The 24,334-nt window shown below is 58.3% G+C and overlaps 2 protein-coding genes across 21 annotated transcripts, besides 9 other annotated features; both read right to left on the reverse strand.

The window, feature by feature from the left end:
- On the reverse strand, positions 335 to 14,833 carry PITPNM1 (phosphatidylinositol transfer protein membrane associated 1). Of its 18 annotated transcripts, none has more exons than XM_047427907.1 (24): positions 14,743 to 14,833; positions 12,670 to 12,788; positions 11,071 to 11,285; positions 10,859 to 10,980; positions 10,429 to 10,653; positions 8,662 to 8,988; positions 8,481 to 8,576; positions 8,290 to 8,397; positions 7,507 to 7,568; positions 7,163 to 7,413; positions 6,700 to 6,889; positions 6,484 to 6,591; positions 6,089 to 6,246; positions 5,798 to 6,003; positions 4,745 to 4,915; positions 4,005 to 4,169; positions 3,644 to 3,792; positions 3,413 to 3,523; positions 2,811 to 2,927; positions 2,489 to 2,637; positions 2,255 to 2,404; positions 1,977 to 2,160; positions 1,501 to 1,629; positions 335 to 863 (listed from the first exon to the last, which is right to left on the reverse strand). In XM_047427907.1, the coding sequence occupies exons 2-24, from the start codon at positions 12,745 to 12,747 to the stop codon at positions 600 to 602; spliced, it is 3,735 nt and encodes a 1,244-aa protein (XP_047283863.1). In that variant the 5' UTR covers positions 12,748 to 12,788; positions 14,743 to 14,833; the 3' UTR covers positions 335 to 599. The 18 variants fall into 18 exon arrangements, with proteins under 18 accessions (XP_047283863.1, XP_047283867.1, XP_047283861.1 ...); XM_047427911.1 differs by having other exon boundaries at positions 4,745 to 4,912; positions 8,290 to 8,394; positions 14,743 to 14,831; XM_047427905.1 differs by lacking the exon at positions 14,743 to 14,833 and adding an exon at positions 14,465 to 14,705.
- Positions 11,639 to 12,388: an enhancer, noted in NCBI's record as "H3K4me1 hESC enhancer chr11:67270543-67271292 (GRCh37/hg19 assembly coordinates)". NCBI's record gives its function as "activates a minimal SCP1, AML or CMV promoter by ChIP-STARR-seq in naive H9 embryonic stem cells {active_cell/tissue: H9 hESC(naive)}" and the evidence as "EXISTENCE:reporter gene assay evidence [ECO:0000049][PMID:30033119]".
- Positions 12,389 to 13,138: an enhancer, noted in NCBI's record as "H3K4me1 hESC enhancer chr11:67271293-67272042 (GRCh37/hg19 assembly coordinates)". NCBI's record gives its function as "activates a minimal SCP1, AML or CMV promoter by ChIP-STARR-seq in naive H9 embryonic stem cells {active_cell/tissue: H9 hESC(naive)}" and the evidence as "EXISTENCE:reporter gene assay evidence [ECO:0000049][PMID:30033119]".
- Positions 12,389 to 13,216: a biological region, named in NCBI's record as "H3K4me1 hESC enhancer GRCh37_chr11:67271293-67272042".
- Positions 12,917 to 13,016: a silencer, noted in NCBI's record as "silent region_3639". NCBI's record gives its function as "represses an Ori minimal core promoter by ATAC-STARR-seq in GM12878 lymphoblastoid cells {active_cell/tissue: GM12878}" and the evidence as "EXISTENCE:reporter gene assay evidence [ECO:0000049][PMID:35858748]".
- Positions 13,097 to 13,216: a silencer, noted in NCBI's record as "silent region_3640". NCBI's record gives its function as "represses an Ori minimal core promoter by ATAC-STARR-seq in GM12878 lymphoblastoid cells {active_cell/tissue: GM12878}" and the evidence as "EXISTENCE:reporter gene assay evidence [ECO:0000049][PMID:35858748]".
- Positions 13,227 to 13,386: a silencer, noted in NCBI's record as "silent region_3641". NCBI's record gives its function as "represses an Ori minimal core promoter by ATAC-STARR-seq in GM12878 lymphoblastoid cells {active_cell/tissue: GM12878}" and the evidence as "EXISTENCE:reporter gene assay evidence [ECO:0000049][PMID:35858748]".
- Positions 13,597 to 14,226: a silencer, noted in NCBI's record as "silent region_3642". NCBI's record gives its function as "represses an Ori minimal core promoter by ATAC-STARR-seq in GM12878 lymphoblastoid cells {active_cell/tissue: GM12878}" and the evidence as "EXISTENCE:reporter gene assay evidence [ECO:0000049][PMID:35858748]".
- Positions 14,834 to 15,063: 230 nt separating the features above from the next.
- Positions 15,064 to 16,729, reverse strand: CDK2AP2 (cyclin dependent kinase 2 associated protein 2). 3 transcript variants are annotated; one of them, NM_005851.5, is made up of 4 exons: positions 16,568 to 16,729; positions 16,159 to 16,256; positions 15,932 to 16,064; positions 15,064 to 15,579 (listed from the first exon to the last, which is right to left on the reverse strand). In NM_005851.5, the coding sequence occupies exons 1-4, from the start codon at positions 16,647 to 16,649 to the stop codon at positions 15,512 to 15,514; spliced, it is 381 nt and encodes a 126-aa protein (NP_005842.1). In that variant the 5' UTR covers positions 16,650 to 16,729; the 3' UTR covers positions 15,064 to 15,511. The 3 variants fall into 3 exon arrangements, 2 of the variants coding, with proteins under 2 accessions (NP_005842.1, NP_001258778.1); NM_001271849.2 differs by having other exon boundaries at positions 16,427 to 16,729; NR_073484.2 differs by having other exon boundaries at positions 16,159 to 16,729.
- Positions 16,602 to 16,701: a silencer, noted in NCBI's record as "silent region_3643". NCBI's record gives its function as "represses an Ori minimal core promoter by ATAC-STARR-seq in GM12878 lymphoblastoid cells {active_cell/tissue: GM12878}" and the evidence as "EXISTENCE:reporter gene assay evidence [ECO:0000049][PMID:35858748]".
- Positions 17,012 to 17,261: a silencer, noted in NCBI's record as "silent region_3644". NCBI's record gives its function as "represses an Ori minimal core promoter by ATAC-STARR-seq in GM12878 lymphoblastoid cells {active_cell/tissue: GM12878}" and the evidence as "EXISTENCE:reporter gene assay evidence [ECO:0000049][PMID:35858748]".

Genomic DNA, 24,334 nt, shown 5'->3' on the forward strand with positions numbered 1-24,334 from the left:
CTCGGTGTCTGGGGGCAGGGTTTCCATGAGAAGCTACGCTGGGGCTGAGGTGAGCCGGGTTGGGCTGGGGTGGGCTGACTGTCCAGAAAGAGGAGAGGGCCGAGCGCTTCGTGAGACCTTTTGAGGCCCAGGCCCCCATCCTGACCTGCCTGTGACATGGATGGCCCTGGGCGTGGGTTTCGTGCGACCTTTTGAGGCCCAGGCCCCCATCCTGACCCTGCCTGTGAGCTGGATGGCCCTGGGTGTGTGTTGGCCTCTCTGTGCACATCAGTGTCCCCTGTTGAACTGGAAACTGGGCTGGCTGCCCTGTGATGCCAGGCATGGGGTGAGTGGGTGGGGTGCAGGTGGCGTTTATTTTCATGGATTTATACACACTGGAAAAGCCTCTGCGCCCATGCCCACGCCCTCCTCCCTCCCCCCGGCGCTGGGTCCCCTCATATGAAAGGGAAGTAACACCGAGGAGCACACGGAGATATAGGGTGTGGGGCTGGGGGGGCCAGCGCTGGGGCCAAAAGTCTGGGTCCCCAGCCTCCCACACGCAGCCCCTCGGGCCCCTTGGGTGTGTCAATAAATAACCCAGGTCCAGGCTGGTGTGGGCCTCACTCCTCGCTGTCCAGCTTCAGGCTGATGCTCCGTGCTTTGCCCCGTGCCAGGGTGGTGGGTGGTGTTCCCGGGCCCTCACGCTCCGCCTGGCTGGGGCCCCTCGAGCGAAGCAGCTGGCTCTGTTTGCGCAGGAAGTCCACGGGGGCAGCCACACCATAGCTGCTCTTGCCCAAGGCAGCTCTCGGGGGTCCCGAGGAGGCATGCGAGTGCGAGCCCGCTTCCAGCTGGCCCAGGTGGGCCACATAGCCGTCTGACAGGAACTGTGGGCAGAGGTAGGCAGCGATGAGGGGGTGCTGGCCAAGGGCCCACACGCTGCCCTCCACGGTCCTCCAGAGGCACCTGAGGCAGGCTGGGGGACTGGTGGCAGGCTTGGCACAGCCTGAGCTGAAGCCTTCTCAATAGATAGGACCCCAGGCTGGGAGCCAGGGCACCTTGGCTGTGCTCCTAGCTCTGCCCTTCTCTGGGCCTCAGTCTCCTCATCTGGAAAATGGGGTCTTAGAGGAAAAATAACAGCAGCCAATGTTTAGCCAGCACTTGCTTTGTGCCCAGCCCTGTGCCTGTTGATGTGATCTTCATAAGCTGACATGGGCAGTGCCATGATCATTTCCATTTACAGATGGGAAGCTGAGGCTCAGAAAGGTCACAGTGGAAAGCCATGGCCGAGTGGAACCAGCGCCTAGGGTCTTGAGCACTTTCCAGTGTGGGCTGTCCCCTCTGGCTTGCCTGGCAGCTGGCAGCTCAAGCTGCTCATGGCCCTTGTCCTCGGAGGATCCCAGGTTCCCTGGAGGCCGGTTAGGCCTTCTCACATCTTCCCCAGAGTCCGTGGTTCCCAAGGCCTGGGACTGAGGGCCCTGCCCCCTGGTGGGGTCCTGTTCCTGGCCTTCACTTGGGCCTCACCTGGCACTGCGCCTGTAGCTTCCGCACGGCACGGCCCACGATGTAGGTCTGGCTCGGGGACAGCCCCAGCGCCGCGTATACAGCCACATCTTTGGGAGACCCATAACCGGCCACGATGTTCAGTTCTACCTGTGGCGGGAGATGCCAATCAGCCGCCCCAGGGGTGGAGCCGTGCAGCTGGGGGCGGGGCCTGTTGGGCTTCCCCAGATTGTTCTGGGGGTGGGTCCAGGCAGACGGAGGCGAAGACAGGTCCCAGTCCCACGGGGACAGGGGCGGGACCAGCTGCATCTCCCTAGTTGCCCCTAAGTACACGGGGCCCCTCAAACTAGGGGAGCAGGACCGTAGCGGGCCGCTGCAGTCAGGCAGGGCCCGGGCCGATCCAGTTGGGAACAGATGGGCCTCCGCCGATCCGGGGGTGGAGGGTAAGGGGGAGCGGGGGCGGGGTCAGGACCCGGAGCCTCCCCCAGCCGCCGCACCTCCTGCACCAGGCTCTGCAGAAACATTGCCTTCTGGCGTAGTGGGTCGTGGGTGAGGCCGTCGCAGAAGGAGACGACGCCGTGGGGGAAGTTGTGCTGCGACAGCCATGCCACCACGCGGTGCTTCTGCATATCCGGCCGGCCTGTGACATACACGATCAGGTAGCCGGAGTCCTGCCAGTGCCTGTGGGGCGGGGGCAGCGGTCAGCTCCGCTGGCCAGGGGTGAGGGGCCGGTCACCCCGGTGAAATGGGTGGTGGTGGCAGTGGCAACTCCTACCTGACCACGTCCACGGCGCCAGCTCGCACCTTGGGGTCGCTGCCCATGATGGAGACGCTGGCGGTGAAGGAGCCGTCGATGCTGAAGACCACAGCCTCCGTGCCGCGGGCCACCACAGTCAGGCAGCATTCGGCATAGGTGTGGTCGCCCCTGCGGCCCACGGGGCGGGGCGTGAGTGGCGCGGGGCGAGGCCTGGCGGAGCCCTCCCGCAGAGGCCCGGCCAGCCGCGCTCACCTGACCACCATGCGCACGGGGTAGACACCAATGCCCAGCGCGCGTTCTGGGGGAACTGGGAAGGTGAGGCGGCCCGAGCTATTGGTGACTTCGGTGCCAAAGTGGATCCACTTGCCCGACAGCGGCTGCGTCATGATGTAGACATCCACCTGGAGGGGAGAAGGGGCGGGAGGTAAATGGGGGCCCTGCGTGGAGGTGGGCAGAGGCGGGGCTGTCGTCGGGGATGGGTGGGTCTAGGGGCACAACCACCAGGGACCAGGAGCTGTTCCGAGGACAGGAGATGGGGCCATGGGACCAGGCGACAGGGCCTCTGGGTCCTGACCTTCTCTCCAGTGAGCGTGACGACGTCCAGGGGCCCGTACATGAAGCGCCCGCTTAGCACCTGGGGGCGGCCCTCGCACACCACCGTGTCGCTCGCCCGGTGGTTGGAAGTGACGTTCTAGAGGGAGGAGAGGGCGTGAGTCCGCGGCCAGCAAAGGATGGGGATGCTTGGGGAGGGGGAGCGGGTGAGGATCCACACGCAAACACCGGGGTGGGGGCCTAGAGGCGGCGGGGCATTGAGGGAAAAGGGCAAGCCCGGGGGGCGCACTTTTGTGGACCCCGGCCTGAGAGCCTGTGTGTGGGCCGCGCCTCCAGGGGCAGAGCTGTGACAGGACGGGATGCAGAGGATGAGGCGAGGTGGGGACCAGCGCAGATCCAGACCCTAGACCCAAACTTCCCGCAGAGGGCGGGGAGACCAGCGGTTCCCAGGGGCGGGGCTGGGGCAATGAGGTGGGGCCAGGACCCCAGGGGCGGGGCAGGACTGGGAGAGAGTTGGATCGGCTAGGACCCGAGGAGGGGGGTGCTGGGGGGAGGGGCGGGGCCTCTCTGGTGAGTGGGCGAGAGTGGGCGAGTGGGCGAGGGGGCGAGGGGCAGGGCACCTACCCGGATCTTGACCTGCGTGCGTTTTCGCTGCCACTTCTCCCTGGGGAAGGCCGGGCTGTAGATGGACGGCTCCTCGCATTCCGCCAGCTGTGGCCGCTCCTTCTCGATCACCTGCACGGGACAGGGGGCGAGGCCTCTGTCTCTTAGGGGAGGGAGGGCTGCCCCTCCCCCGGCCCAAAGCAGCCCATCCCCGTCCCATTCTCATCTCCCATTCCATATTCCCAGGCCCACCTGGCGCAGGATGAACGCCACCACGTCGGCGGACTCCCAGTAGCTGGCGTGGAAGAGGTGGGGCAGCGTGACGGTGGGAAAGGCGGTGAGCGCCTCGGGGCAGTACAGCGAGTAGTCGATCCGCTTGGTCCCCCACCAGCGCTCCAGGACTGCGCGGCCATGGCAGCGAGTCAGGATGGCCTCCTGCCCCACACCCATCTGCCTGGGCGCTGGGTGCTCTTCCCTCCCCCCTTTTCACCCAGCCTGCTCTTTGCCAAGTCCAGGCTGTGTGCTGGGGGAAAGGGTTTCTCAGCTGGGCTTCGGAGGTGGAATACGGGCCTCCCCCACCCCCAGGCTGGACTGCCTAGGCTGGCTGACTTACTCTTAACCACCTCACTGGTGGTGCTGGGGGCGGCTGGCTGGGCCGGGGGGTCAGTGGCCAACTCACTGCCCTTCCAGAAGGCACCGCTAGTAGAGGTGGGTGTTGAGGGCACCAGCATCTCCAGCTCCTCCAGAAAGAGGCTGGAGTGCGTCTGCAGAGTGTCGGCTGGGGGAAGGAGGGCAAGGTCAGCAGGGGCCGGCCAGGTGGCTCTCCTGTCTTCTCACCCAGGGCTCCCCGCACCTCTGCCATCTTCCTGTGGCCCCTCTGGTCAGGTCCTGGCTGAGGCTGCACTGTGGCATTCTCTCCTCTCAGCCCAGTGGCCAGCTGCACTCCTGCCAGAATGCCTGTTGCCACCGCCCCAAACGCTGCACACCTGTGCCCAACACAGGCCCGCTTGGCCCATACATACCTGGGCATGCCCCGCAATAAATGTCTGCAGCACACCCCACACAGATGCAGCAGCGCACACATGCTGGCTGCTTGTATGGCAGCACACCAGCATCATGCTGCCAGGGGGCACCCTCTCTAGCTTGGCTAACCACCCCCACCCAACTTCTAGGCCCAGGAGGTCAGAGGGTCCTGGGGATCCAGACCCCCCCAGGGGGAAGGAGCGCCTGGTCCTGGGAGTGGTGGCCTGAGAGGTTTTCCATCGTCTGGGAGCCTCCTCATGTCTTCTGCTACCTCCTCCCTTCCTGTGTGTGCCCTCCTCCTTCTCCCCTTTATCTTGTTTGGGGGCGTACCCAGCAGCAGGGATGAGCCATCTCCCAGGGGGAACTTCTGGTAGCGGGGCACGGTCAGTGGGGCGATGGCCTGGAACTTCGGGGCCAGCAGGGGCTCGAGGCGTGAGGCGCAGGGGTCAGCCGCGTGGAAGAGGTTGTAGATCTGTTCACAGGCTGGGCGCATCTGGGCTGCTGGTACCCAGAAGACAGAGAAAGATTGTGGGGTCAGGGTTTCAGCTGGGCACTCTGGGAGGTAGGGGGTGTGGGAGCAGCACCCTGATGTCTGGTGTGACCCCGAGCCAGCACTTCCCAAACTGCACTCCCTGGGAAGTCAGTAGGGCCCTGCTTAAAGTGAGACAGGGGCTGGGCACCGTGGCTCATGCCTGGAATCCCAGTACTGCGGGAGGCAGAAGCAGATGGATCACTTGAGGTCAGGAGTTCGAGACCAGTCTGGCCAACATGGTGAAACCCCGTCTCCATTAAAAATACAAAAATTAGCTGGGTTCAGTGGCTCATTCCTGGAATCCCAGCACTGTGGGAGGCAGAGGTGGGTGGATTACCTGAGGTCAGGAGTTCGAGACCAGCCTGGCCAACATGGCAAAACCCTGTCTCTACTAAAAAAAATACAAAAATTAGCTGGGCATGGTGGCAGGTGCCTGTAATCCCAGTTACTTGGGATGCTGAGGTAGGAGAATCACTTGAACCCAGGAGGTTGCAGTGAGCAAGATCAGGCCACTGACACTCTAGTCTGGGTGACAGAGCGAGACTCTGTCTCAAAAAAAAAAAAAAAGGCTGAGAAGAGGGCAGCGGCTTCGATTTGCTGCTGTGGTGTCTGATTGACCCCTTCTAGTGCAGAACATCCCACGGGTGTGAAGCTCCTCCCAGTGGCTTTGGGAGACTCACCCTTGGCGAGTCCCTTCTTTCTGGGCCTCAGGTTCCCCTTCTGTAGCCAGGCCTTTGAATTAGTACAGTGGGGAAGTTGCTCATGCCTCGGATGAGAGGGAAGGCCAGAGGAGGTGGGGAAGGAAGGGGCAGACAGAGACTAGAGGCGCCCCCGCAGCCCCTAGGACTCACCCTCCAGGGCGGGCATCACAGTTTTGCGCAGAGCCAGCACCAGGCCCAGTGGGGAGCCGAAGAGGAAGAAGCCAGAGACCTTGAAGTCAAGGCGGGCAGTGCTGCTGGGGCCGTCAGGTGCCTCGGAACTGGCAGCGGGTGGGCAGAAGGCCGTGCTTGCCCGCCGGGGCTCCCAGGAGGAGGTGGTTGCGGGGGCTGCCTGAAGGCTGTGGGGGAGGAGGGGTGCTCAGTGCTGCTGCCTCTGTAGTCCATCATGTGCCCAGGGTAGGGGTGATGGGGCAGGGACGTCACCTGTTCTGAGAGCCCTCGGGCTCAGGACTGGCCATGTCGCTGGGGATGCGCTGGGGAGGCAAGGCCGAGGGTTCTGGGCTGCCCCGACCCAGGCCTTCCACACCATCTGCCAGGGGGTCCCGCACTGGGCCAAACTCCGGAGAGAGCAGCTCATTGTTCTGGATGGAACAGGAGACAGAAACATTCTTAGGCCTGGGGACCATTCGAATTCTACTTACTTAGAAGTGAGGAGCGAGGCTTGGGGGTTGGGCAGAGCAGAATTCCAGAGAAGACATGAACTGGCAGGGCAGCAGGGGGCCTGCCTGCTGGCAGAGGGGTGGCATTCCAGGGGGCAGAGACCTAGAGCCAGAGAGGGCCTTTCCGCTCCTGAGGAGGCCGGGTTTGGCTATACTGACCATGCTCCCACGGCGGCTGCTGCCCCGACTCCCGGTGCCCGCGTTAGCACTGTGGCAGAGTGCATCAAAGCCCAGGATGCCACCAACACCATCTCCAATCAGTGCGACCTGGGTGGGAGCAGGGGCACCATCAGGAGAGGCCTTGTCCTCACCCAGGCCAGACTACAGTGGGGGCTGCAGTGGAGGGCAGCAGATGGACTGTCCCTAACCGCTGACCTGCCCACAGAAGCCGGCACCCTCAGGTGAGCGCAGGAAGGCTGAGTAGGCCTGGTTGGTGCGGGCAATGACGGTGGCCACGGCGCCCTGGTAGCGGGAGGATGAGGTGGCCAGCAGTGGCAGGGCAGCCAGTGGAATGTGGTCTTGGGAGCGAGACAGGCTGTCCCCATCGTGGCTGTAAGGGCTCAGGCTGTAGGAGGGGGAAATGTGCGTGGGTGAGGGGCTTCCAGACCCACTCCTGCCATCCAAGTCCCCTGGGCCTGCTGGCAGGCCCTGGCTCTGTGGGTCCTCTGTGGGGAGCGTTAGCCCCAAGAGGCAACTGAAATGGAGCCATTCTCCAGAACAGGTCCAGCCATGCCAGTGACCGACCCAGGTGTCTGGCTTCCTGACCCCTTCCCCGCTCCCTGCCCCGCTCCCTGGCCTGATCCTACGAGTTCCCTGCCCTTCCACCCGTGGCTAGTACTTGGAGACAAGGGCATAGGCGGCGGCGCAGATGGGTGGACAGGGCACCAGTCGCAGCGCCACGTGGCCCAAGGCCTCAGGGAAGTGGATGCGGGTGACGGCCTCGAAGGCGGAGCTCAGCGTCTGCACATCCGCCTGCTTGGAGTTGGCGTCTCCAGGGCCTGAGTCCAGGATGTTGCCGCTGTGCAGGATAAGGAAGAGGGCGTGGACTGCGCATGCCTCAGCCCCCAGCTCCCCGGCTCCATCCAGGCCCTGGGGGGAACAATGGGGTGCAGTGGGTGTCACAGCAGTGGCCGGGCCAGTGAGTAGGGGGAGCTTTGACATGGGGTGGCTGACCATACTCGCCTCTGAGTCCCTGGGTGCTTGGGCCCCATCCTCAATGCCTTTAGCTGCCTCGGCTCCAGGCTCTGCAGGGCAACGAAGCCAGTGAGAGGGACGGAGAGGACCACTGGGATCCCCTCATCTGGCACTTCAGGCACCCCAGTTCTGGCATCTGCCTGAGGCCCCCAGTCCCTACCTTCCTCCAAACTTCTCCTCCCACCAACTCTCCCAGGTCAGTTTGTATTTCCAGGCCTTTGCTCCTACTGGTCTTATTGCAGTCAGGGCTGCCTCTCCACACAATGCCTGTTTGCCTGGCAAACTTCTCTAACCCTGCCCTGTCCAATGTGGTGGCCATTAGCTACAAGTGGCCATTTAAATTTAAATGAATTAAAATATAATACATAAAAACCTCAGTTCCTCAGTCACACTAACCCCATTTTCAGTGCCTGGGAGCCAGTGTGGCTGGTGGTTATTGCCTTGGGCAGCATGGACCTAGAAGTTCTGCTGGACAGTGCTGGCCCAAGTCCTCCAAAGCCAGCATAGACATCACCTCTCAAGTGAAGCATTCAGGGAGTCCAAATTAATTCCTTCATTCTTAGTGCTATGTCTGAATCATGACTACATTCTAATCATCCATCCATCCACCCATCCATCCATCCATCCATCCATCCATCCATCCACCATTCATTATTCGTCTATGTATTTAATGAGCACCTCTTCAGATTGCCTCTCATCTTAAGATGCCATTAAACTCATGACCTGCTGTACACGGGTGCTGGGGGCCGGTGTCCTAGGCGGTATCTTTACCTGGCGTTCCCTCTGCCTCCACTGGGGAGGCAAAGGCATCAATGAAGTCATTGGAGTTCCACTTGGTCATCTCCTTGGGGAAGACCTCCTCACTGTCCGAGAAGCCTTCTGAGGGGACAGGGGGCTGTGTCATGGGGTGGGAGGAGCTGCTCGGGGACATCCCCACTCCCAAAAAGGGCCTCAGTGCTGACCGTGGGCATCAAAGAACTCTTCCTCGGAGCTGTTCTCAGAGTCTCGGGCAATGTTCTGCATGCGCCACTCAGACAAGCTCTGGGGAGACACAGCCCCTGCCGGGCCAGCTCAGCCTCAGCCTCAGCCCAGGAGCCCAGCCTGGGGAGGGCCGTTCCTCCCATCCCTGTGCCCCAGCCTCACCTCCATGTTGGGATGAGTAGGAGGAACGGGAGGATGAGGACCACTGCTTCCCAAAGCTGGCATCGGGGGAGGCATCTGGGCCTGGGGGGGCCTCAGGCCCATCGGGGGTGCCAGTGTTGCTGGCCGCAGACCGGGCCTCGGTGCTCGGTTTCCCGGGGGGCTGGGCCTCGGACCCCTCACTGCCTGTGTTGCACTTGGCCATGCGCTGGGCCAGCATGCGAGCAGTCTCCTCTTCCAGTGCCCGGATGTCAGCCATGCTCAGCTCTGTCCACTCATCCTGCCAGCACCAGGCCTGGCGGTGGGCCCGCAGCATCACCCGACGCAGACCTGCAGGTGCCCAGGCGTCAGAACTGCCCCCTCCCCCTGCTTCCCTGCCACCGCAGCTACATGCCCAGCCTTGAGGTTGGATAATGGCTCCCCTGGGGACACCACCCACCCAGAGCCACAAAGTAGGGCAGGGCCAGTGCAGTCCAGGAATGGGAGTGGAAAGTGGGGCATTTGTCTTCCTGCCTGACTCCCCCCCGCCCACTGCCTTTCCTGTCTCTCTGCACACCCTAACTCTCAGCACTGTCCCCACCCCATCACTCCAGAAGCAGGGACCAATGCTTGTTCTTGCTTTTGGCTGGCTTCCTGCTGACTTCTGAGGAATTAACAGTTAATTAAGGGTTTAACAGTTAATGAAATTGTTGATGGTTAATGAAGGTGTTAACAGTTAATGGAAGTGTTGGCACTCAATGAAGGTTGTAGCGAAAGATGATACCCATTCTGGGATATTTTTATCTTAAGCAGAAGAAAAAGTTAGAAACTCTTAAATGTCTAGGAAATAAAGTAATGATGGTTGAATGATAATTATAAACTTCTGCGAGGAGATATATTGGAATCTTAGTAGTGGCTATATTTTTCTTATTTGTGCTTTTTGGCATTTTTCCAAATGCAAGACAAGGCGTCCTCATTATTCTCTAAGCTGAATTTCCTCACCTGTAAAATGGGAATAATCATCGTCATTACCTGGTGGGGTGTTGTGGGTGTTAAGGGAGATCTTGCACAAAAAGTAATTAGCCATGGGTCTGTGTGTCGCAATCACTGTCAGTATTAGCTCTTCATATCTGACTCAACCTCTTCCTCATTTACTGAAGAGAAATTTAAAGTGCAGAGATGGCCAGTGCCTTGCTGGAGGTACCATGGGGTGGGGGTCAGTAGTGGGACAGAAGCCAGGCCGCTGGTCTCTCCAACTAGGGACCATCCCTCTGTGTGCAGATGACCTGGGCACTGAGGCAGGGCTGAATTGTAGGCGTGGTGGGGTCAGGTTGAGGGGAGGTGTGGGACTGGGGCTCCTGAACACCAGGGCCAAAGGCTGGAACACTAGAAACTGGGAGTGGAGGTGGGGAATCCCAGAGAGAATGACATCAGAGTCACAGCCTCAGCCTGCACTCCTTAGCATGCTGCCAGTTAGAGCCGGTGACCTTCCTGAGTGTCTCTAAGTCTCATCTAACTCATAGGATGATGGAGAATCTTAGAATCTTAATGGAAGCAGCAGCATTTCTGAATGTCAGAGCCAGTATGGACCTTGTAGATCATGTTACCAGCTTCCTGCTCTGTGGATGCCTGGCTAGGCTGTGCGGCCGCTTCTGCCCTAGTGCTCCCCACCTCAAATGGAAACGATGGCTTTCTGCTTCTGTGTCCCCAGTGGATGGGAGCATCCCTGGCCCTAAACATGGGGTCTGGGGCATGCTGGGTAAGTGGGACCTCCCGCAGCTGGGTGCTCACCTACATCATGGATGAACTGCTCGATCTTGGCTTGCATGCCCCAGTAGCGGAACTCAACCTTGCACAGCTTATAGGCACACATAAGGGGCCCCGTCTGTGCCGCCGTCCGTGCCCAGTCATCAGACAGTGGCCCTCGGCCCGTCTTGACCGAGTGATAAAGCCGGGGGTCCTCTTCTGCTTTGTACTCGCCTGGGGCCACTGCATCCCGCACGATGTCGATGGTGTCTGAGGGAGTTCGGCAAGCATTGAGCAGCGCCAGCCCCTTTGAGCCCCCGCTCCTGGCACCCTCTTGGGACTGGATGACAGTTCCCGTCCTTTTGCAGACAGGACATGAGGCCTGGAGAGGGCTGGGACTTCTCAGAGGCTGCCCACTGAGGCAGCCAGGAGCCTGAGAGGGGCGCCAGGGTCCCCCCATAGCTCCAGGCCTCACCCAGGATGCGCTGTCTCCTCTCGGCCCCGCTCAGGTTGAAGACGTTTGGCTGCTGCCCCCCATCAGGCAGGTAATAGGTCTCAATTTCAATGGAGAATTTCTCCACGAAAGGGCAGGTGTACCTGGGCAGAAGGCACGGGTGAGGCTCACTGCTGTACCCACCAGGGCCGCTCCCCTCCTGGCCTCGGACCATGCCCAGCTCACCCACTCACCGGGTTCGGGTGTAGGGGTAGGCATTCCAGGATTCCTCTTCTACCTGCAGGGCAGCCTTGGGCAGCAGTGCCCGGAACCAGCCTGGGATGTGGGAGCCCACGTGGTACACCTTGTGTGTGTATTGCCCGCTGCCCCCGGGCCCATCCGTGTAGGGCCGGTTGGCCAGGATCTCCACGCCGCTGCCCTCACCACTAGACTCCTCCCGGCTCTTTTTCTGTGGCCCAAGGGAGAGCAGGACAGGGAGCTCAGCCCCAGCTTAGCATCTGGGATCCCCAGCTCAGCCTGGTGTTCTACACAGCTCTGGGGCCCTGGTCCCAGCCTTTTCAACTCCCTGAAACCAGACCCCGCCCCACCAAAGCTCCCTGGGATCAGAATCACAGATGCAGCCCAGCCCCGCATGGGGTCTGCAACCCAGCACTCAGTTGAGTCATTCAAGTATTCATTGAGTGTCTGCTCCACTCCAGGCAGTGTTTGGGATTATATCAATTGAGATATATTGATGAATAGAACAAAGATCCCTGCCCTCGTGGAACTTACATTCTAGTGGAAGGAGACAGACAAAAGGAAAAAGCAAATTATGTGGTGTGTTAGAAGGCGCTAGGTGCTATAGGAAAAGAAAGCCTAGAGTAGGGTATAGGTGATGAGGGTTGGGGGCTGCAGTTTTGATCTGATAGTCAGGGAAGGCCTTGCTAATAACACAATGTGACCATGGCTTGAACATGACTTTAAGGAGGTGAGGTAGGAGGAGGTGCTCAAGGCCGGGGGAAGCCAGTGCAGCCCCAAGGTGGGAGCATACTGGATGTGCTGGCAGGTGGCAAGGAGGCCGGGGTGGCTGGCAAGGAAGAAGGGACTAGGAGAGGAAAAGGGGCCTCCAGCTCTCAGAGGCCCTGACCCTGGCCCCCTCCCTCTCTGGGAGGCCCTGGCCGCCTCCCAATCCCAGCTCCGCCACACCCCTCAGAGCTTGAGAGCCCCCAGATCCTGCCTTCTATTGCTCCGGGGCTCAGATGGCCCTTTCAAGCCCGAGGCGGGGTCCGGGCCCTCTTGCTTTATGAGATTCTGGTCCTGCTGTGCTGGGGACAGATCTGGAGCAGACTCCCCCAGGCCCCGCACCAACCCGGCCACTGCTGAGGGCCTGCCCTGGCCCACTCTTCTCACTGCCCTACACCAGAGCCTCCTCGCCCTCCCATCCTTGCTGCCCTGTCCCTGCTCCAGGTTTGACACCTGGTCCTCACCACATCTCCCTGACCTCCAGGGATGGCCAGGACCCTCCACTTCTCCAGACCCCCTCCCGCCTTCCTCTGCCGCGGAGGCCCCCCTCCTCATTCTTGCCGCCTCCTGGGCGCTTTTTCCTTCCCCGATGGGATTACAGATCCTGAGGAGGATTACAGGAGATCAGAGGAGGGCTGGGCACTTAGCGGATGGGAAGCACCACTCGGCCCTCCTGCCCCTCTTCCCACAGTCCTTCCCCATTCCCACATCTGAAGGGGGGCCTCTCTTGCCTCCTCCGGGCTCCCAGCCGGTCCCAGCCCCGGGGCAGGGCTGGCGGGGTCGGCAGGGCTCCACCCCTTGCCCGGGTGCCCTCTCCCCGCCGCCCTCACCTGGATCATGTAGAGCTGGGCCACCTGGTACTCGTCCAGGCTCATGGGCAGCAGAATGTGGTATTCCTTGATGAGCATCCTGAAGGCGCTCGGCGGGCCGCGCGCGGCCTCCGCTCCTCCTGGCGCAGGGCACGGCGCGACAGTCAGTGCGGGGAGGCTGCGCGCGGCCCCGAGCCCTGCGCGCCGGCCGAGGGACTCAGGCCACGGGACCCCATGTCCGGGCCCGCCACGAGGGAGGCAGAGGCGAGCCTAGCACCGCCGCCCGCGCCGCCGGGGCCGGGAGCCGCAGCGAGGCTGAGCGCTGACCTCTTTTCCGCGCAGCCCCCGCCCCCCGCCCGCCCGTCGCCATGGCAACCGCGCGCTGACGCGGGCCCCCCGGAGCGCCAGGCTCCGGCCGGCGGGCGGGAGGGCCACCTCACCTCTCCCGCTGCGACCGCGTCCTAACCCCGGGAAACGGCATCCCTCTGGGCGCGCCCCCGAAGCCCCGGGGCCCCTCCTTCCGGGCCCGCCTTCCGCGACCGGCCCCTCGGGGACCCGCCCCTTGCATCCCCTTCCCGGAGTCGGCGGGGTCCCAAGTCCCCCACTCTCGGACGTCCACCTAGAGCTTTGTTCCCCGAGTGTCTCTGCGCGGAGTGGCCCAGTGCGCCCAGCATCTCTGCCAGGGTTCCCCACGCCCTGCACCCGAACCTACCTTCCGGGACCGGTAATCTCCTCCGCCCTCCAGATCTGCCTTCTTGGGCAGCCGGGTCCTCGACCTCCCCCTCCCAGCATCCTTCCTGGACCCCTGGCCCTCGCCGGCTCTCCACGCGCCTAGGCAGCCACTCCGTCCTCTTCCCAGGGGGTGAGCCCTCCTCAGGCTGAGGCCAGAGTGGCTCCACTTGGTATCCCACGGGCCATGGCCCTGGAGACCCGCTCCGTCCACCTGCGCCCCAGACTGGCACCGAGGTTCCGCTGCAGGCACCCCTCCATCCCCCACTCGCACCCCGCGAGCAAGCGAGAGGCCCCGTTGTCCCCACTTCCCTCTGCTCGCCGGCGTCCCGGTCCCCTGCCGCGCTCTTGGCCCGCCTGCCGACGCCCCGGCTCACCTCTAGCTTGAGGCGGGCGCCCCTCACCCAGCCCGGGCAGGGCCGGCCGGCCCGTGGGTCGGAGCCCGGAGCGCCCCCAGCCCCGGCCTCGGGTTCCAGCGGTGGCCGGACCCTCCCGAGGCGCAGTGCCGGCCCATGGCCCCGACCTTCCTCTCGATCCGCCCGCCGGCGCCCCTGCAGTCCCTCCCCGACGCCCGCCGCGTCACTGCGGCCGCCCCGCCCCCTTCCTGGGCCCGGCTGGCCCTCCCCACCCCGGCGGGGTCCGGGCAGCCCCGCCTGCAGCGGAGGAGGCAGGGAGGGAGGCCCCTGCCTTCCTTCCCCCGGGCAGTGGGAAAAAGGCCATTGCCTAAATTCTGGCTCTTCCTAGTCCCTCTGTGCTGATTGGGGTCCCCAAAGACTCTTAGTTCCTATCTCCACCCTAGCCCAGCCCTCCTGTGTGCAGTCACAGGGTGGTTTGATATGGGGGGTCCCAGGCCCACTCTCCTCTTCTCACTCTCTGCAGTCCTTAGATTTGGGACCCAGGGTTGAGGAAATGCCTCCCCACCAGTCTAGCCAGAAGCTGGTGGCTCTGACATGCCTCCACCTAGGGCTGGGCTCGGCTCCAGGGCCCCAGGCCTCTATGGTCACCCAGCTACACGCCCAGGCAGAAACGGGCTGTCACTGTGAGTGGCTGGGCTAGCCCCTGCATGGTGCCACAAAGCCTCCCCCACCTCTGCCTTCCGGGTCCACAAGTCCGGTCACCCAGCCACCCGGAGTCTGGGCAAAGGCCTCACGAGGCACCCCAAGGCTGGGTTCATGGGATCCCACCCAGCCTGCTACAAGGTGCTGGGGCAGTGACGGCAGCACCCCGCCAGCCCCTCCCCTTGACACTGAGGCCAAGTGCTGGAAGCAGCAGTGCCCTTTCTCTCTGAGAAGTCAGAGACCTTCAGGGCTGATTCAGAGGCTGGGGTGTTGTCAGGGCATTAGGGCGTGTGAGGGAGTGGCTTACGTGAACTGGCATTTCCATGCTGCCAGGCATCACCGCCAATCCAGAGGAAGCGCCCTCCAGGCCCAGGCTGCCCACAGCGCCAAGGGCTGTGGAAGCAGCCAGGCCCTGTGCTGCCCCCTGGTGGCACCACAGGAAGGCCCAGGGCTCTCAGCGCCACGGCTGGGGCGGAGAGGGCCCAGGTCCCACCAAAGGCTGATGGCCTACAGAGGCAAGTCAAACCTCATTTAATCACACCCTCCCCATCCATAGTCTCCTCTTCCCCTGTCTCTGCCTGGCCCACCCAGGCTTAGCTGAAGAACCAGACCCAGAAAGGCTCAGAGCTGAGAGCACAACTCCAAATCATCTTTTATTAATATAAAAAGGGCATATTTAGCAAAAGACACACAGATAAAAGAGTCACTATGGCTCAGGACACAAGGCAGGGAGGTGCCAGGCCTGTGCCCCTGCTGGGGGAGAAGGAGGCTCGGGACAAAGTGGGAGAAGTGCTGGGAAGGGCTGAGCGGTAGGGGCCACAAAAGTTCCGGTGGGCAACACTGTCGGCAGGTCATGGGTGGGACTCATGGGGACCTCGCTGCTAACTCTTGTTGTGGGGGGGTGTCCTTAGTGCTGCCACCTGGAGGGCCACTCCTTGGTTCCTGGAGGGGACCCACCAAGGGACACAGGACAGGAAGCCCAGGATGGTTAGTGCAACTCGGGATGAAGGCCAGGGAGAAGCGGGTGCTCTGCAGTGGCCGGATAGGTCCAGACGCTGAGGCCGAGGCGCTTCCTGTTACGTGCGGGCGTTCCGCTCTGTCTCTGCCAGGCACTCTCTGACTAGGGCCCGGGCATGGATGATACCTGGGGGTGGGGTGGGGTCTCAGCAACCCTCCACAGCCCCACCCACTGCCCTCCAGAGGAGGACCCCTGCCTCCCCACTCCCTTTCCACTTTCGGCAAAAGAAATTCAAATCTAATGACGGCTAGATGAAATTAGAGGTTTGGTTAATCCTCAAGGTTGCCCTGTTGAAATACAAATTCCCATGCTCTTCCCTGGAAATGGACTCAATTTCAATTCGATTCAAAACACCTCTCTGGTAGTAATACTGGACATCCTCTAGGCTTGGCTCAGGTGGCCTCCAGATGTCCTTCCTTCCCTCATGAAGGATAGTCCAGTGTCGGTTTCCTGAGCAGGGCGGCCTGGCCTCACTTACCTCTCTTCAGGCGCTCCATGGCGCTCTTGCTGCCAGCATAGGTAGGCCGGATCTCTTTGCCCATCTCCTCTATGACTGACAGCAGGTCCGTGTAGGTGCTCTGGGAGCCCTGGGCGCCGGGTGGCTTCATCGCCTATGTCAAAAGAGAACAGGGCAGTGAGCTCAGGCACCTGGCGGGGAGGGGGACTCCAGTCCGCATCCATAAGCAAGGCTTTGGCCCCACTCACCTGCACGTAGCCCATGGAAGGCGGTCCAAAGTCGTTAAACAGCGGTCTGAAAGGAGCGCCGGCTCCTGGCACTGAGCCCGACGGCGACGGGACGCTTCCTGCAGCAACAGGCGCGAGTAAGAGGTCAGCGCGGGGCAGGGACGCCGCCTCCCAGCTTTTCCAAGCCCAGGACCGGGTTCGCCCGATTCCCTCCAAAGGATGCTTCATTCCATGCTGATCAACTTCAGGGACAAATCCCTCCCACTGCGCTCCACCTACAAGCCCTTACGTGACCACGCCCACTTCACAGGCCAGCAAACTGAGGCTCAGCGAGGGTAGGCGGCAGGCCCAGTATTGCAGAACTCAGGCCGTCTTCTCTTCGAGACCTCGACCGCCCGGCAGGCGAGCAGGGGTGGAGCTGGATCCTCACCTGTAGGGACCGGGGTGCCCGGCCCAGGGGTGCTGGAGCCAGGGGTGCTGCTGGGAGCAGGGGCGATGGGTTTGTAGGACATCCCCAACTCCTGGGCGCGGCGGACGCCAGCCGGCCGCTCCTCGGGGGTTGGCTGCGGGGCCGCTCAGCCGCGCTCTGATTGGCAAGCGGGCTGCACGCCCCTGGTAAATAGAGGTCTGGCCGGAAGGGCGAGCGGGCACGAATGCTCCCTCACTCCCGATTGGTGCGCGAAGATGTCACTCGAGCCTCCTTATTGGCCGAGACCTGCCCCAGCAGGTCGCAACCGCCGCCGATTGGCCTCCGCCTTCCGGACCTCGCACCTGTCTGCTCCGGATTGGGCGGTGGCCACCGCCCTCCGCAATTGGCGAGTTCGCGGCCCGGGCCGGCGCGCTCTCAATCCGATTAGTCCCCAGGCCCTAGAGGCGGGGCCTTGGGAACCGGGACCCGGGGCTGGGCTGCCGGTTCGCGCCGAGGGGTCTTCCCGGGCGCGGGCGCTACCCTCGCGCCTCACTCGCGCTGCTTCAGACGTCTGCTCCGCTCTGCCCAGTTTCGGCCCAGCAGGGGTTGCTGTCGCAGCTGCCGTCGCCGCTGCCACCGGTGCCTTGCGCGCTTCTCCGCTCTGGGGGCCGAAGGACGCAGGGCTTTGACGTCCCGAGCCCTGCGCCCCACCCCGTGCGCTTTTACGTCACCTTTCACCGGTTCAACACCCGCTCCCCGATCTGCGCATGCGCCCGCCCGAGGCCTGCGTTTGTTCCCATGGCAACAGGCCCCTCATGGATGCCGCCACGTACCGTTCTTCCTGCGGCTTGGCTCGTCCTCAGGTCTAAGGGCGACCTCAAAGACCCCTTTACCCGCACCCCCAAGGCCCCGCGCTGCTGCCTAAGTTAGTGACAATGGCCGTAGGGCAAACCTTCGGGATTACTTGCGTGCCGGGCCCCGGACCAAACTGGTCAAGAGCACCGACTGGAGCCAACCGTCTGGGTTCAAATCTCAGCACCACCCCCACTAGCGATTTCCCCCAGGCAAGTTTCTCACCTCAGTATGCCTCAGTTTCCCCATCCGTAAAATGGGGAAAATGACGATCTCATTGGGTTGTGTGGATTAAATGAATAGTCATAAAGTGCTTGTTGTTTCATTCTCCGCCTTCCTGTCCCACAGGGCCCCCATACCTTTCCACTCCACCACTCAGACCCCTCCCCTCAAGTCTCACTCCCCACAGAGTTAGACCTCAGACCCTCCTCCACTCCCTAACCCTTTCTCCCAGGCTCCTTCTCCAAACTCAAACTTCTCTGGCCTTGTGTATCTTCATGCTCCCAGCTTTGTAGATCTTCATCTCTAGGACAGTCATTCATTCATTCATTCATTCATTCATCCAACAAGCATGTTCTGGCTGAGCGCGGTGGCTCACGCCTGTAATCCCAGCACTTTGGGAGGCCGAGGCGGGCGGATCACGAGGTCAGGAGTTCGAGACTAGCCTGGCCAACATGGTGAAACCCCCATCTCTACTAAAAATACAAAAATTAGCGGTGTGGTGGCGGGCGCCTGTAATCCCAGCTACTTGGGAGGCTGAGGCAGGAGAATCGTTTGAACAGAGGTTGCAGTGAGCCGAGATCGTGCCATTGCACTCCAGCCTGAGCGACAGGGCAAGACTCGGTCTCAAACCCCCCCCCCAAAAAAAACACACAAAAACCATGTTCTGACTCCCTCCTCCGTCCCATGCCTTGTGCTGAACGCTGAGGTTACAGAAATGAACAGGCCATGGCCTCTGTACTCAAGGAGGCCTTATACTCTGAGACAGGGAAGCAACGTCTTCTTTACATTGCAGTAAGTCAATGGCCACAAGGGATAACGGGACAGGATGCATTGGAACTTAGAGGAAGGGCCTGCCGGGTGGCATCACAGAAATCTCTACAGACTAGGTGGCATTTGAGTAGGTGGGGGTGGAAGCGGAGACCGAGGGGACACTCCAGGTAGAGGGACTGTCATGTGCAAAATCTTGGGAAATGGGAGAGCACAACATGTGTTTGAGAACCAGCCTTTTTTTTTTTTCCTTTTTTTTTTCTGCTGGAGAGTTCACTGGGAAGTGGAGGTGGAGCCGTGGAAATAACCACAGGGTCAGGAAGGGGACCTTAGGTGACGTGGATGTAAGGAAGCTGAGTTGACCACGGAGTCCAGTGCTTCCCTAACTCCAGCCATTAGGAAAACTCCATCAGTTTTGCCATCTATTTAACATTTCCTTGTAATTAATTCACTTTTACAAAATCTTAAATAGAAAGGAAAAGGCATAATGTCCATTTAATCATGTGCTCAGTATTTATAGTTTTCTAATACATATTCAGACTCAACTACTGTTAAAAAGAAAAGGTGTTGATCAGGTCACCCAAGGTCTTCTGCTCCTACTGGTGGCACTGAGGGTGCGCTTCAGAGAAATCTACTGTGGATAGTAGGTGAAGAGGAGCCACTGAGGGTTATACCTCCTTTGGAAACCACCAAGCCCCAACTCCTTCTGTTACAGGAAAGGGGTCTGGATCCATATCCCACCAGAGGGTTCTTGGATCTTGCACAAGAAATAATTTAGGGTGAGTCCACAGAGTAAAGTGAAAGCAAGTTTATTAAGAAAGTAAAGGAATAAAAGAATGGCTACGGACAGAGCAGCCCCAAGGGCTACTGGTTGCTCATTTTTCTGGTTATTTCTTGATGATATGCTAATCAAGGGGTGGATTATTCATGCCTCCCCTTTTTAGACCATATAGGGTAACTGCCTGACATTGCCATGGCATCAGTTTACAGATGGGAGTGTAGCAGTGAGGACGACCAGAGGTCACTCTCATCACCATCTTGGTTTTGGTGGGTTTTAGCTGGCCTCTTTACTGTAACCTGTTTTATCAGCACGGTATTTATGACCTGTGTCTTGTGCTGACCTTCGATCTCATCCTGTGACTTAGAATGCCTTAACCATCTGGGAATGCAGCCCAGTAGGTCTCAGCCTCATTTTACCCAGCTCCTATTCAAGATGGAGTTGCTCTGGTTCAAACACCTCTGACACTTCCACACCTTAGACCTTCCTACTTTCTCCACTGCCCATTCTATTAGTTACTGCAGCCTTGACCTCCTGGGCTCAAACAATCCTCTTGCCTCAGCCTCTCAAAGTGCTGGGATTACAGGCAATAGCCACTGGCCTAATTCCACAAACAAAATAAAATACCATAGACTGGGTGGCTTAAACAACTAAAATTTATTTTCTCATGGTTCTGGAGGCTGCAAGTTTGAGATCAGGATGCTAGCACGGTTGGTTTCTGGTGAGGGCTCCCTTCCTGGCTTGTAAATAGCCACCTTCTGGCCACGTCTTCATATGTGCTCCTTGGTGCAGAGAGAAAGAACAAGCTTTCTGGTGTCTCTTCTTATAAGTACGTTAATCCTGGAAGCTGGGCAGGGAGGTGCAAGGCTGTAATCTCAGCTACTTGGGAGCTCACATGGAAGACTTGATTGAGCCCAGAAGTTTGAGTCCAGCCTGGGCAACACAGTGAGACCCGACATCTAAAAAACAAAAGAAGGGCCAGGCTCGGTGGCTCACTCCTGTAATCCCAGCACACTGGGAAGCTGAGGCGGGAGTATTGCTTCAGCCCAGGAGTTCAAGACCAGCCTGGGCAACATAGTGAGACCCTGTCTCTACAAAAAGTAGCCTGGCATGGTGGCATGTGCCTTTAGTCCCAGCTACTTGGGAGGCTGAGGTGGGAGGATTGCTTGAGCCCAGGAGGTTGAGGCTGCAGTGAGCCGTGATCATGCAACTGCACTCCAGCCTGGGCAACAGAGCAAGACCCTGTCTTAAAAAAATAAAAAAGTAAAAAAACAAAAAAGGACACTAGTCCTATCAAATCAGAGCCCTACCCTTATGGCCTCATTTAACCTTAATTACTTCCTTAGCGGTCCATCTCCAAACACAGCCACACTGGGAGTTAGGCTTCAGCATATGAATTTTGGAGAGACACAAACATTTAGTCCATAACACCCATGTTTGGGGGAAGGGGTTTGCTTGGGAGGTGCCTGAGGGGTTGAACCTTGAATTCATTCATTTATATTTATTTATTTATTTTTGAGACAGGGTCTTACCCTGTCACCCAGGCTTGAGCGCAGTGGTGCAAACATGGCTCACTGCAGTCTTGACCTCCTGGGCTCAAGCAATCCTCCTACCTCAGCCTCCCAAAGTGCTGGGATTACAGGCAGGAGCCACTGGCTTGGCCCTACAGCAGGTTCAGATGTCCCTCCTCCTTGGAGCAGTGGGCTATGGCAGGAGGGGCACAGAGTTCCGTGAGGGAGGTGGGTGGTGACAACTGTGGCCTATCTTAGAGAGAGGACTCTGTCTACCTCGGGGGAAGATAGCACAGCTTCCTTGGTACAACGCTTTAGGGGCTCCCCTCTGGTCTCAGCCCTCAGACCCACAGCTCATCCCCTGGATTTTGGAGCCTTTAACCATTGCTAAATTCAGCCCATAGATGGGCTCTCGTTGGCTTGCCCAGTGAATTAAAACTTCATCTTAGTGAGCAGCATTGTATTTCTGTACAATCCTTTCAACTTTGCGCGGTGGCTCACGCATGTAATCCTAGCACTTTGGGAGGCTGAGGCGGGCAGATCACGAGATCAGGAGATCGAGACCATCCTGGCTAACATGGTGAAACCCTGTCTCTACTAAAAATACAAAAATATTAGCCAGGCATGGTGACACGTGCCCATAGTCCCAGCTACTTGGGAGGCTGAGGCAGGAGAATCTCTTGAATCTGGGAGGCGGAGCTTGCAGTGAGCTGAGATTGTGCCATTGCACTCCAGCCTGGGTGACACAGTGAGACTCTGTCTCAAAAAAAAAAAAAATGAATGGATGAACAAGATGATACTACTACATTCTTGTTAGAATGGCTAAAATCCAAAACCTGACAATGTCAGTTGCTGGCAAGGGTGTGGAGCAGCAGTGACTCGCATTTACTGTTGGTAGGGATGTAGAATGGTACAGCCATTTTGGAAGATGGTTTGGTGGCTTCTTCCAAAACTAAACATAGACTTACTCTGTGATCCAGCAGTTGTGTTCCTGGGTGTTGACCCAACTGATTTGAAAATGTATGAGCACACAAAAACACGTGCATGTGAATATTTATAGCAGTTTTATAATCTCCAAAACTGGAAGCAACGAGATGCCCTTTAATAGGTGAATGGGGCTGGGCACGGTGGCTCACGCCTGGAATCCCAGTACTTTGGGAGGTCGAGGCAGGTGGATCACCTAAGGTCAGGAGTTCAAGACCAGCCTGACCAACATGGAGAAGCCCCTTCTGTACTAAAAATAAAAAAATTAGCCAGCCATGATGGCGGTTGCCTGTAATCCCAGCTACTGGGGAGGCTGAGGCAGGAGAATCACTTGAACCCGGGAGGCAGAGGTTGCAGTCAGCTGAGATCATGCCATTGCACTCCAGCCCGGGTGACAAAGTGAGACGCCATCTCAAAAAAAAAAAAATAGGTGAATGGTTAAACAAACTGACATATCCATACAATGGAATATTATTGGGCAATGAAGGAAATCGCCTATCTAGCCATGAAAAGACATCAATAAATCTTAAATGCATTTTGCTAAGTGAAAGAAGCCAGTCTGAAAAAGCCACATACTGTATGATTCCAATTCTGTGACATTCTGGAAAAGGGAAAACTATACAGAAATTGATCTGTGATTGCTGGGGCCTGGGGTAGAGGGAGTGAAACTGAATAGGTGAGGCATAGGGGAGTGAAACTCTTCTGTATGAGGAAACTTTTTGTTTTTGTTTTTGTTTTTTTTTGAGACGGAGTCTCACTCTGTCACCCAGGCAGGAGTGCAGTGGCACAATCTCAGCTCACTGCAACTTCTGCCACTCGGGTTCAAGCGATTCTCCTGCCTCCGCCTCCCCAGTAGCTGGAATTACAACTGCACGCCACCATGCCCAGCTAATTTTTGTATTTTTAATAGAGATAGGGTTTCACCATGTTGGCCAGGCTGGTCTCGAACTCCTGACCTCAGGTGATTCACCCACCTTGGTCTTCCGAAGTGCTGGGATTACAGGCGTGAGCCAACACTCCTGACCAACTTTCTGTGTTTTTATTTTTTATTTTTTATTCAGGGTCTTGCTCTTTGCCCAGGCTGGAGTGCGGTAGTGTGATCATGGCTTACTGCTGCATCCAACTCCTGGGCTCATGCCATCCTCCTTCCTTGGCCTCCCAAAGTAGATTACAGGCGTGAGCCACGGTTCCCGGCTGAGTAAACTTTAATGTATGCAAATGTAAAAAAATTCATCTTGGAGGTCAGCGGATCCCAGGATGGAATGCAGAATGCAACCAAAGAAACTAGCTATATTACAAATGTGTGCAACAACCTCACTGTAGGGGCTGAAGGAATAAGGTGCTGACCTAGAAATGAGGGAGTCTGTAAGACTAAAGGCAAAAGGAACTGCACATAAGCACCGCACTCGTTGAGAAAGTTGTACCCCACAGGAATATGGGTTAACAGTTCCAAAATCACTCCACATGTAGCTGGAACTGAACAATTAAGTAAACAGAGGATGGATGATGGGGGTCACTGTTGGAATGAGAAGTTACAGATAAGCAAGTGGGGTGGCTAGAATGATCCATGTGGTAATGGGCTGGAGTTGGAAGCATCAGGATGAACTCATGTACAGCTTAATAGAGATTCAGTTGCTTACATACAGGAATATTTATGAATGTCTGTATACACAGAATAGCATGCACACACACGTATCTCCTCATGTTATCAGCAGAGAAGACCTGGAAACAATTTCCCCTCCCTGCTACACCCACTAGCAACAAGCACCCAGATCTTGGTTTCTTTTCCTTTTCTTTTCTTTTTTCTTTCTTTTTTTTTTTTTTGAGATGAAGTCTCTCTCTGTCACCCAGGCTGGAATGCAGTGGTGGGATTTCAGCTTACTGCAACCTCTGCCCCCCGGGTTCAAGCCATTCTCCTGCTCTGGGGTGGGGCATGGTGCCTCCTGCATAGCTGGGATTATAGGCACCCGCCACCACGCCGGGATTCTTTTTGTATTTTTAGTAGAGGTGGGATTTCACCATGTTGGTCAGGCTGGTCTTGAGCTCCTGACCTCAAATGATTTGCCTGCCTTGGCCTCCCAAAGTCCTGGGATTACAGGTGTGAGCCACTGTGCCCGGCCCCTGCCCCCACTTTTTTGTTTTTTTAGAGAGACAGGGCTTTGCTCTGTTGCCCAGGCTGCAGTGTGGTGAACTGGGTGCTATCCTAGTTCACTGAAGCCTTGAACACCCAGGGACAAGTGATCTTCCCACTTCAGCCTTCCAAGTAGCTGGAACTACAGGCGCACACTACTACACCTGGCTAATTTTTAAAATTTTTTTGTAGAGATGGGGTCTCACTATGTTGCCCAGGCTGGTCTTGAACTCCTGGACTCAAGTGATCCTCCCACCTTGGCGTCTCAAAGTATAGGAATTACAGGCATTAGGCACCATGCCCCGCCCCAGATCTTGGTGTCTAATACCATTCTCCAATAAAATGAACCAGGGCTCCTCGGAGAAATGACTGATAGTAGGACTGGGGCAGGAAATATACAAGATGATCCTGGAGCAGCTTGTAGTGCCAAAGCATAAAAAGTGCTAAAAATAAACAAACATACACAAAGATGGGGACACAAAGCCAATTGAAAGACTCCCTATGGATCGATCTACCTATCTATCTATCTACCTATCTATCTA

This window comes from Homo sapiens, chromosome 11 (assembly GCF_000001405.40).
Source record: "Homo sapiens chromosome 11, GRCh38.p14 Primary Assembly".
NCBI lineage: Eukaryota > Metazoa > Chordata > Mammalia > Primates > Hominidae > Homo > Homo sapiens.